Source organism: Homo sapiens, chromosome 3 (genome assembly GCF_000001405.40).
Source record: "Homo sapiens chromosome 3, GRCh38.p14 Primary Assembly".
Lineage (NCBI taxonomy): Eukaryota > Metazoa > Chordata > Mammalia > Primates > Hominidae > Homo > Homo sapiens.
The window spans coordinates 7,949,114-7,961,635 of NC_000003.12; the positions used below are offsets into that span (position 1 = coordinate 7,949,114).

Here is a 12,522-nt window from a genome sequence, read left to right on the forward strand (position 1 = left end):
CAAATCAATAGCTAGAAATATGTAGTGAAACTATAGAACACTAAAGAAAATGATCTTAAAAGCAGCTAAAACATATTCATTTATGAAAGGAGTAATAATTAGAAGATTTCTTTAAAGTAACAATGGAAATCAGAAAACGTTCATAATAATGAGACAGCCAGGTGGGAAGGGGGTCCCCAGAGAAACTCCAGCCGGCCTGCACACTTGGAGGAATACGCACCGAGCCACAGAAATTCCGGCCCTTTGCAACAGGAAGGAGCCTGACCCCTCCTCTTCCTGGGTGGAACTTGGGATTCAATCTTCAAGGAGTGAAGCATGTACTGGTACTAGCAGGGCTTTCACTCTGCTGAGAGTCCGTTTCCCCTTTTCTTCCTTTTCAACCCAATAAAAGCCTGCCTTACCCTTCAAGTTGTCTGCAAGCCTAATTTTTCATGGCTGTGTGATAAGGACCCTCATCTCTAGCCGAACTAAGGAAAAAGGCCCACAACAATAACAAATAAAATGTTCAAATAATATGCTCCAAGGTGAAAATAGCTGTCAATTAGAATAGAAATGTCTCTGGCAAACATCTCTTAAGGCCAAGTGATATTTCCAGTTAAACAAAAATAGAGTTCAGCACAAAAAATCTTCTTTAAACAATCTTCTAAAATATGTAATTGAAGGAATTTAGACATTCAGAATTTAAACATTCTAAGGTTTCAATATTGCTCAGGAGGAGAGTCAAGTTTTGATGGACTTCGGGCTTCAAAAAAATTAAGAATACATAGGGAAATGTCAAGTTTGAGACTAAATGGATTATGTAATTTTCAAAATAGTAGAGAAAGAAATGGAATTTTCAAAAATAAAAGATGAAGCAAGGAAGGAGCCAGAAAAGCTTCTAAAAACTAATACAAAAAGCAAAAACATTAAATGAGACAACAGAAATAAAGTTTAAAACAACAGTAATCACAACTAAGACTGATCAGTCATTTGAACGGCAGATAGATTTAAATTCTGCTTTATGCCATGAAGGAACACGCTAAAACTTAGGAAAATCAAAAGGCTGATAGGAAAAAGATGGAAAGCACGTACTAAAAACTAGCTAAAAAAACAATTGGGGAGTTTGTATTTATATCAGCCAAAATAGCATTTAGGTAAAAAATAATAGGGACAAGGAAGATCACATAATCACAGAGTTTCATTTAGCAAGATGATACATTAATTCTAAACTTGATTATAATTAAGAAGAAATCGACAATTTACCAACATACCCTTAGGCTTTCACGTAGCTCTCAGTAATTGAGAGATAAAGCTGACAAAAAGAATTAAAGATAAACAACTTATTTGCATTATGCAAATTTTGTGTAACTATTAATGAATTCATACTAATCTGAAGCCCACCAATAAAACATTTACTAAGATTAACTACGATAACGAGTTTTAACAAATAATCAAAATATAAATTGTATTCTTGAATCTCAGTATAATTAAATTCAAAATCTGTAAGAAAGCATCTAGAACTATCCTTATATGGGAAAGTCTAGAACAAGTAGGTAATGAGTAGTGGCCATTTACTTCATTTTAAAAATTATTTTCTCTCCCATTTTAAAATTGATGTAAAATTTAAATTTTGCAGGGGTAAGAAAGGAGACCGAAACTATGGGAAGATAATTGAGTCCCAGAATCTGACGGATGGGGTCAAAGGCAGGAGAGAAGGAAGGGACAGAGGAATTAGGAGATTTGATTGGTATGAAGATTCAAATCATTTTTGGGGGTGAGTTAAGTAGACACCTGAAGCGGGATGACCATAACCAGGTGGGTCTGTGGAGGTTAGGGGTGAGCGGGCAGGATGAACTGGAAGAGTCAGCAGGCACTGAATGAGGGTCATGGATATTAGCTGACAGGTTGGGCATTCTGCTGAGTGCTGTGGTTTCAGATGACAGGTGGAGACTCTAATGTTATTTGGTTTTGGAGGAGCAACACCTTGAGTTCTACAGAGAATGGGTGACTAATACCAGCCAAGAAGCATGACCTCATTCATCCCTTTTCCCTCTGGAAGGGCGTCTATGGTAGGATTGTGTTTGTTCTGCTCTAGTTCTTAAACTCCATAACCATCATTTCAACAGAGCCAGGCCCAAACCATGAAAATCAAGTTTTATTTAGAATATTAATAACAAAGGAGGAATTTCTGGTTCCTCCTCACCAAGTCCCCAGGCATAGTGATACACATTCACCCAGACTCTAGCGCATATTCACCCAGAGTACAATTAGAAAACAACTGTGAAACAATTCTTACTAGATATAATACACAAAAGACTTGGCTACCAAGATCTTTTAAAAACACTGATTAGGTATCAGCTTAGAATACTTCCCTACACAGTTCCCTAGATGCTCAATAATAGATTGGGGCTAGCAATAAAAGATAAAATATTTTTGCTCTCTCTGGTCTAATTATTATGCGAGTATTTTAAACCATTCTCCCTTACTCTGTCCACAGAAATCTGTCCTCCACTAACTTCTATATATCGCTACTAGTTTAGACCCTTAAGATACCTTTAATAAGCCTCACCCCTCTCTGAAATAACAGTCTTGCCAACATTAGAAAATTTGTGTGTGTAAAAACTGGGGGACGAAAAGGATTATAATTGACTTAAGTTGATACGGAAGGGTAGAGGATTACTAGGAAAGTTATATTTTTAGAACATGATTTCCCGTTATGTTTGTGCAGGTTATTTTTACCAAAAATAAATAAATAAATAAATAAATAAATAAATAAATAAATAAATAAACAAACAAGGCAGGTGTTACCAGTATGGTACAGACTAGAAGTTCCTTCACTGAAGTTCTCCATGCAGTTATGAGTCCATGTGGCTGTCTTGTCTCAAGCTTAGCCTGCACCAGTCTGAACACAAGTCCTGCTTCTTGCCTTCCTGAAGCCCAGGCACACTGTGGAGGAGCCACTGCCCAACTCTGCTGGGTGAGCTGGTCCTCCAAAGCTAGCCCAGTGGCACTGAGTACTCTAGGTCCACTCATGCAAATGTCTCTCGATGAAGTCTCTAATTCCCTGTTTGTGTCTCATTTACTATTTCTTCTCCTCTGACACTTCTCCATTAGTCTACACATATACCTGAGACTACTATTCACTACTTTTGATTTTGGACAAGTTCCATAACCTCACTAAGCTATTATCAGGAATTGCATAGATCAAAATGAGATAAGCCAGATCTTTAAAACTGAGTCTGTAAGGGGGAAAGCCTGGGAAATCAGTGCCTTTTAACTAGCAGGTGGTTCTAATGATGGAGCAAGTTTGGAAAACACTTTCATTAATGTCACAATGCTTTGTTAATATGTAGCTGAATCACCTGAATGCATTTTAAACAGGCAGCTTCCCCTGGTCTCTCCAGACCCACCTGAGACCCACTAACCAACTAAAGCAGACTCTCTTCATGTTTGCATATTCTGATGCAAGACACCTGCAGAAAGCACTTTGTGGAAGCCTGACTGAAAACTGATAGTGTGCTCCTTGTCCATCAGCATCAACATCACCTGGAAGTGTTTCAGAACTACAGAAAATCCTAGGCCCTACCTCTTCTGAATCAATGTGCATGTTAGCAAGACTCCATCCCCCTGCCCCAGGCAATTCTTATGCATGTTACCTTCAAGAATGGGTTTTAGTTAGGGTTCTCCCCAGAGACAGAACCTACAGATGTCTAGAGAGACATATGAAAAAGGATTTATTAGAGGCAATTTTCTTACTTACTCATGGAGGCTGAGAAATCCCACAACAGACCTTCTGTATGCTGGACAATCCGGAAAGCCTGTAGCGTGGCTCAGTCTGAGTTTGAAGGCCTCAGAACCAGGGCATTCTATGGTGTAATTCTCAGTCCAAAGCTGAAGGTCAGAGAGCCCGGTGGCGCATTGGTGTGAGTCCTGGAGCCCAAAGGCTGGAGAACCTGGAGTTCTGATGTCTGTCTACAGGCAGGTCTCTTCTCCAGGGAGACTGCCCTTTATCTGCCTTTTTGTTCTATCTGGGGCCCCCAGCCAATTGGAATAGTGCCTGCCCATATGGAGGGCAGATCTTCTTCATTTAGTCCCAGTTTCCCTCAGAGGCACCCTCACGGACACACCTGGGGCAGCCCAATTATTCTAATCAAACGCCAAGCCACCTGGGTTTCCCTTTCAGCAGAAAAGGGAAGGGCTCAGTATCTACTGAAGCATGGAGAGTAAATAATGCTTTCCCAGGTAAGTATCCCTTAATACAGTCAAGTTCACACCCAAAACTAACCATCACAGAAGCAGTGACTTAAGCCCAACAGTGAATCTCAGAATTAAGATTCTAAAAATGATTCTGTTCTCAAATGCTCTTGGGCTAATTTAAAATGTAACTTAACCTATTTATTATCTATCTCTAGATTTTAAAAAATAGTGCACAGGGAACTTTAACAGGTAAGTAGTCATCTGTCTTTAGAGCTGAGGTCTGTGTGGCCAGGTGATCTGTGTCTGTTCCACGTTTCCATTTGGAATGCCAAGAGCTCTGCCTACCAGCTGGTTTGGGATGTCTATGGCATGAATCATCAGCCATTTGGACCTTGACAATAAAAGGTTTTTAAAGGGAAATTGCTCCCCATCTTAGGCCTCAGTTTCTCTATTTGTAAAGGAAGATTACCATGCCCACTTCATAGGTTTGCAGAGAAGATCCAAATGATGTATGTAAAATGCAAGCTCAGCATGAAGCATGAGGCCATGTTTTATTTGTGAAAGGGAATGTGTAACCATGGAGGCAGGAAGTAGTGGTGAATGTCTCTGGAGCTATATTTTAAGCCCTCACTGGAAGGCTCACTCTACCTTGCTATTGTCAGAGAAGGAATAAACAACAATTGTATCACATTGGTATCACATCTGGAGAAATGCATGGGAGGACAAAAGGCAGGTAGGTATAAATGTGAAAATCATTTTCCCAGAGAAGCCAATTTTTATTTGCAGCTTCTTTGGCCTCTCAATTTATTGTTCTACTTCCAAACCCAGAAGGGTCCTCACATTTACCAACAACCTGGAATAATAAGGTTCTGACCCAAATTTTAACAATTGAGGATTTTTGAATCATAAATGAATATACCAGCAGGACTGTTTAGGATCCTTTTCTCTGTTTCCTTGCAATGTTATTCACTCCTATGTTAATTTATACCTGCATTCCTCAAGTATTTGCTATGTCTCAGGTACTATGCTAAGCTTTGGATATGCATGACTTTATTTAACCCTTATTATAACTCTATGAATGAGGAACTCATGCCTTTTCTGTAGAGAAGGAAACTGAACCACAATTAAGTTATAAATATGACGAGTCCACTCAGCTAGTAAGCGACAAAGACAGCCATTAAACCCAAGCAGCTTGATTCAGACTCGATGTCCTTTGCTTTTGGAGCAGCTACTGTGTGCCTGGCACTGGGGCTACAAAAATGAGATACATACAGTTTTTGCTCTCAAAGACTAATGGCCTAATAGAAGACTGCAAATTCTAATGCAAGGAGGGTAACCCCATCACAAGACTTGCCCATCGTAAACATTGCTAACGGATCCTCACAGTCTTTCCCACTGAATCTGGACTTGTCACGTAGGGTTCCAGGAAATCACTGCAATTGCTTGAAGTTGGCATTTCAGATGACGCTTTTTTCCCGTTCTTGCTACAGTGGAAATCTAAAATTATTAATCTTTATTGCCTCTTGCCTTGGCCTGTGATAGAAGCAAAGGAGAGTATTGATATGTTTTGCAATTAACAATATTAGGTATTAAGGATCTGTCGCAAACAAGCACAAGCCTAGGAAATGACAGTATCACGATAGTCAAATAGCCAAGAATATTGCTCTAATTTGTACAATTTGTCAAGAAAGATAAGCCTTTTACCTTACCCAAATCATGCCATGTCTCCTAAATCTCATAGCTCATATAAGTAATTTGCTTGAATTTTATCTTTTCAGGAATTAAAAAAAGGTTAAAAATGGAGTTTAAAAAAGATATAACTGCATTTACTATCAGATAGGGTGGGCTGACAATGCAGAAATCTACCTTAGCAAACCTAATATTATTCACGTTTCTCCAGTTAATTGAAAATGCACAGGTGGGCTAGGCTAAAATTAGCATAAGAGAAAAACATTATTTCTGTTTATATAATTTGCATTCCTTTGTATCAGTGAAATGACATATCAGACAAGAGGCTTACCTGCTGCAGTGCAATCTTTAATCCCCATCATGTATTAATCATTCCTCTGCAATATAATAAAGCTGCTTCTGTCATGATGGCATTGAATGTAAACAGTCCCAATTACTGGTAATTCTCAACTGTTTTGCAGAAAGAACAATGTGGTATGATCCATGGGCTTTGTAAGGAAACAAAATAATAAAGTTAACTGAGTTTTTCATCTTAGTTGAAACTTTTCTGCAGACTTCCCAGGTCCTGTGCTTACTTTCTTGAATTATTTCTAAAAACTGAAGCAACGTACAAGCAGACCCTTGGGAACAAAACATCTTTCCATTTATAAGTTTCAGGAAAATTTTAATAGGCTGAAAGCGAGGAAGCAAGTTGTGCTGCTAATTTCCCGCAGGCATTTCCCAAGTTTTTACCCATCACACCATAAGACCTTTGAGTAAAATGGTTCTGTTTGAACCAGAATATTGTTGTTACTCTTGTTCCACATAAGAGAGAAATAAAAATTTCCAGCAGTGAAAGCAAATTACAAGACAAGGAATGAATGTCACATCTGTCTAGCATTATGATGCACTTTCTTTAAGCTTTACCAGCATTTAAACCTTCTGACACTCTCAGAAAGTAAGTGATCACTAGTATTTCTAATGGTTTTGAGAGAAAGCTCTTCAAAGGAAGATGATTCCTCGGATGTTAGAGAAAGGCTATCATCCAGTTTGGAGGGCTGAGATGATGGTGACAAAACCAGTCACTCTTCACTACTTTCTCACCAGAGGCAGACATTACTAAATAATTTCAATGCTTTTTCACACTGAGCCCCATTTAACCTTCTCACCTTAATCCTTTGAGAAGCCACTAACAACGAATTGAAATTGAAGCACATAATGAAAGACGTTGTCATTTCTTCTTTCAGATTCAAACACCTAACTAGAGACTGTTTGAACCACTTCTTCATCAGGAAGGTACTCAGGAGATAAAAAGGAGCAGGAAATATTTGATGGGATTCCCTAAGCCTTCTCTTTCCTCTTCTACCTGTCCACCCACCCATCTTCTCTTTAAGAAATAATAAAAGTAGTTGTAGAAATTCAAGGTAGGGAGTCTCACATAGATGACTCCCTCATCCCTGGGGAACTAGAATGTCGTTTTATGCAGAATGGTTGCTCATATGCATAGAGAGCTTTGTAGGCCTTGGTAAAAAATAAAATGAGAAACCATTAAAGGATATCATCCAGAGAGAAGCTTAATCATCTCTAAGCTAAAAAAAAAAAAAATCACTGTGGCTCCTATGTGAATAAAAGTTGGAGAAGAGCAGAATAAATACTGGGGTAACCAGTTGGGGGTTGCTGTAGTCTGTGGAAAAGACGACTGTCCTTAATCAGGTTGGCCTGCCATAACAAAACACTATAGAATGGGTGTCTTTAAAAGCAGACATTTATTTCTCAGAGTTCTGGAGGCTGGAAGCCCAAGGGTGCCAGGCTGGTCAGGTTCTGGTGAGGGTTCCCTTCCTGACTTGCATTCGGCCACCTTCTTGCTGTGTCCTCACATAGAGGATGGAGAGCTCTGGTATATCTTTTTCTGTTTATTAGGACGTTAATCCAGTCATGGTGACTCCACCCTTGTGACCTCAAATAAATCTAATTATCTCCCAAAGGTCCCATTTCCCCCTGAAAAAACCCCATCTCTCCCTGTCAGATTGGAAGTTAGGGCTTCAACATAGAAATTTGGACTGGGAAGAAGGAACACGAAAATTTAGTACATAACAATGATGGTAGTGTGGAATAGGTGAGAACAGTGGGGTGGAAAATTATTCATAAAGCAGAATTCACAGGACCTGGTGAATTGATTGAATTAGGGAGGTAAGGAAAAAGGGGCATCAAGGATAATGCCAAAATTTCTAGCTTGAGTAAATGGGTAGGTGATGATGTCATTAACAGAAAAGAAGAAACAAATTTAGTGATTATGCAACTTATTCCAAAGAAAATTAATCTGATCTTATATATGAAATACTTTAAAAGATCTAGAGTGATGCTACTCAATGTAATAGTCTATCCTGAAGATAAATATTAATGCTAATAATAATAATCATAGTTAATTTTATTGTTTTGTGTCTACCAAGTATAATGCTAGGCTTTGTATATTTATTAGTTCATTTTCCATTTCATAAATAGCTCTATGACATGGATATTATCATCCTCATTTTACAGATGAGTTAACAGAAACACAGAACAATTAATTTTCTCTGTTTGGTAATACTAATGTTTGCCAACATTCATTTCTCTTCTAATCAGGGACAAAGAGGACTACAATCCCCTGCCCACTTGAAGTGGAGTGTAGCCTCATGATGTGCTTCGGCCAGTGGAATGTGAGTGGACGAGAACTATCGCTTTCAAGTGTAAGTATTTAAGAGCCTTTGTTTGATTTTCTGTGCCCCCTCTTCCTCTGCTGAGCTGTCCAAAGAAGCCAGGAGTTCAGGTAGTATAGCTGTATGTTAATAGAGCTCCTATAGGATCTGTCAGTGATGACAATTACATCGGGCATGGAACATGAGCAAGAAACAAAACATGGTTGCGTTAAGATGCTAGGATTTGGGAGGGATTCCCTATTACAGCATAACAGCTTCTTCTGTCTTACACGAATTCACTGTTAGTAAAAGACTGAGTCAGTCTTGGAAAACAGACCCTTTAACCACAACAGAGTGTTTATAAAAGACGGAAATTATCTCAAAAAGGTGGCAGCTTAATATCAGATCAGAGACTTGGCAAGTGGGGTGAAGGGAAGGCAGTGTTGAAAGTCTGTGGCCTGTACAGACCTTTCCCTATGGGAGGTGTCCTCTTTTGCACTTTTTTTTTCCACTTGCATTGGACCTCTTGCCCTATCGACAAAACAAATCTGCTTATTGGTATAAATTCAAGTGTTTCAAATAAGCCTGTGAAGAACATCAGTGGTTCCAGTCACCTCTCTAGGTCTTGCCCAAGGGAAGAAGCTTAGTCATTGAATGATCAATTGGCCGAATATACCAAATTTCCTCATTGTAATGTTGTAAAAATTTAAAAAGACTTAACCATCTTAACAGAAATGTTCATCTTTGGGTATCAAATATAATATTCAGAAAAATATACATTTTATTGCTTGGCACTAAATTCTCAGTATTAATATGGACATTTTTCTTTAATCTTGATTTATTTTATGTTATATTTTGGGTAATTCTGATTTCTTTTATTTACTTTTGAGTTTAAATTAAAGCTTACAATTGGCTTTTGACAAATTGGCTATCAGTGAACTAGCCTTAGGAAACGAACATTTGGAAAATTAATTTTCAGGAAGTTGTCCACTTCCACTGTCCCAAAGAAAGTTCCAGGTCTCAGAAATAAAGGCAATTTTATGAATTTAGCTGAAGCTGCAGTGACAAAGAGACATGTTGAAATGGGAAAGGTTCCCTTGTCCCCCTCTCAGGGCAACGCGACGGGAAGTGGCTCGCTTCTTACATGCCCCACTGCTCAAACCTCCAGGGAAGCATTCAGACAGGAAGGTTGTGGGGCTCCAACCCCACGGCAATGACTAGGGATGAATGTTTACAGCTGAAGCCCCAGTGGGCTGTGTTACAGGGTACTCTTTTAGTTTACCCTTCCATAGGCAGATTGCGCTAGTCAGCTCAATTAGACCTTCTGCCTTATCGCAAGGACAGAGGGCTGTCTGTATCCCGGGGTTTCTTGCCTTGGTGTACCAGAAGAATCGGATCACACGTGGGCTTGGAGAATGAGTGCAAGGTTTTATTGACTGTAAGTAGCTCTCAACAGATGTGGGAGCCAGAAGGGAAATGGAGTGGGAAGGTGGTTTTCCCCTGGAGTCAGACCACTCAGTGGCCCAGGCTCTCGTCTGACTGCCCCGGCCAAAGTCCACATCGTTCCGCCAGTCGATGGCCTGCTGGCATGCCGTCTTCTGTCCTGTGCTCTTCTGCCAGCGCGTTCCCCTTGACGTCCTCTCAATATTCAGCCACTTGTGTCTTCTTCCACCGATGTGTTCCTCTCGACGTCCAGCGACTTGTGGGTCTGCCTGCTAGGGACTCGGAGTTTTTATCGGCACAATAGGCTCAGGATGGGAGCATGGCAGGCCAGGGTAGTCTTGGGAAATGCAACATTTGGGCATGAAGGCAGGAGTGCCCATCCTCACCTGGGTCTGTGGGCACAGGCAGGGTGTGGAGCCCTCGCCAGGGATCACGCCCTTCCCTTCCCAGCACTTCCCTTCCCTGCTTTGGTATCAATGTCACATGGACAAAATAGATGTTTTGTTTTATTTGCTTTTGTCTCCTGAAATTCTCCATTTTCTGATAATGGAGTCTTCAGTGGTTTGGAAAGGAATAACTTTTCCCACCATGAGCCACAGGGGTTGACTTGAGACATCAAGTCAATCAACTATTACATTTCTCATTTCAAATCCTGTATTCACTATTTATTTGTAAATGACAAAATCTCCATTTAAAAGAGCTATAGCAGAAAGGATATTTGCTGACTTATAAACCTGGGAAGTCCAGAGGAGCTTCTGGGTTTAGATATGGCTGGATCAGAGAGCTCAGATGATCCTTTCTCTGCCTGTCCTCCTTCTGAAACATGAACCATGAATCTGGAAGTATCAATAACAAGCATAGTACCTGGGAACTCTCAGGTGCCACCATTCCTTCTACGTGGTTCTAGCCTGCCTGAGAGAGATGCTAACAAGGCTCACAAAAAAAAAAAAAAAAAAAAAAAAGATCAGAGAATTTAGAGAAGAAATACCACAAAAATGAGTATTCTAAGCCTCACACCCTCACTTGTAAACCTGGAGGAAAACACAACAAAACAACAACAAATCCTTAAATACGAGAGGACAGAGCTCTTTGCAAAACAAGTGACAAGCAAAATAAAAGCCTTGCTTATAAAAAAGAAAGGCAGTTTTTATAGGCGTGACTGGGATAAAATGCTTATCCTCCAGTAAATCTTCTAATGATGGGGACATCTCTGCCTCATTTGACCACTGGTCAAATTTCTCTCCACTTCTGATACCCTATGTTCCTTTCTTCATTTCTAGTTTATCTGTTTATTCAAACTCTTCAAGAAACAATAGAGCTTCCCCTGTATAGTTAGTGTGCTGTAAATAAGTAAGTTGGGATTATTTCAACAAACTTCAAGCAACTAGAAATAAACTAAAAATCAAGATATTTATGGAACACCTAGTGAGTACCAGGCAATATGCTAGGTGTGGAGGAAAAAATAGTGAACAAGATGGAGAAGATGGAAAAGTTCCATATTCTGAGGAATGTACAGCAATATTGAGAAAGAACTCCAAACGCAATGAGAGGGTATTGAAGAGCATAAGGTAGGAGCATCAAATGTTATTGGGGGGAATCAGAGAAGGCTTCCCAGAGGAAGTAACAGCTGGAAAGATGGCAGGGAGTTAGCCAGGGAAAACGAATTTCAGGAAGTTGGAGCAGAGTGATGCAGACAGAGGGTGCAGCATGCACCAGATTCAACGGCAAGAGAGCTTGGTGCTGTTGAAAAATTGAGCAATCGGAGCTTCAAAAGTGAGGAGGAGGAATGGTAAGAAATGTAGCTGGAGAGAAGTCTGATGCTAAACTCTGAGGGATTTTGAAAGTAACAAGAAAACTTTAGACTTTATTCCTGCCCTGCTGGAATGGTATTGAAGGATTTTAAGCAAGGGAGCAACATATTCAGAGGGTGCCTTTCAAAGATCACCATGTTACTGGGCGGGAAGTGGGTCAGACAAGGGCAAGGGCTGAGGGAGATCCAGTTATCACAAACATGGGTTTGCAGTGGCATGTTGAAAGCATGCAGCTCTTTCAAATATTGTTGTAAAATGTAATGCAAAGTTTGCATTTTGACATACTATGTATACTACCGTGTTGTAGTGCTTTAAAAATATTCCCAATTATTCACTGGTGCTAACCCCATTAATTGAGTAGCAAATAGACATTTTATTCTTGTTGAAAGAACCCTAATTTTGTTAAAGATGACAATGTGATATGAGCCCCAAATACAGGGTCATCAGTGTCCTAAGCCCATTGAGGCAATTTTGATTTCTTTCTTTTTTTTTTTTTTTTTTTTTTTGAAAATTCTGACTTCTGATGTGTAATGGTCCCTACAACTAAGAATGAAATATGATCTAATTCTGGAAACTGAAAGTAAAATGGAATTTTTATGGAGAGTATTCTGGAAAGTTTTGCTTTCCTTAAAAAGGGGATGGAGACAGCAAGCACTATTCAACAACCTGTTCTCTTCTTTCCACTTTGTACACAGACTTGGGCCCTGAAAGTATAAAAGTCATAGAATAAAAGGACAAAAAACAGGGCA

At 39.6% G+C, this 12,522-nt stretch overlaps 1 long non-coding RNA gene across 1 annotated transcript in view; it reads right to left on the reverse strand.

Moving 5' to 3' along the window:
* Nucleotides 1-3,691: 3,691 nt before the first annotated feature.
* Nucleotides 3,692-12,522, reverse strand: part of LOC101927394 (uncharacterized) — a 63,503-nt gene continuing 54,672 nt past the window's right edge. Inside the window, exons 3-4 of the long non-coding RNA NR_110131.1 lie at nt 6,197-6,353; nt 3,692-5,709 (exon numbers count right to left, since the gene is read on the reverse strand). This is a non-coding gene — a long non-coding RNA (uncharacterized LOC101927394). The remainder of the gene's footprint in view (nt 5,710-6,196; nt 6,354-12,522) is intronic.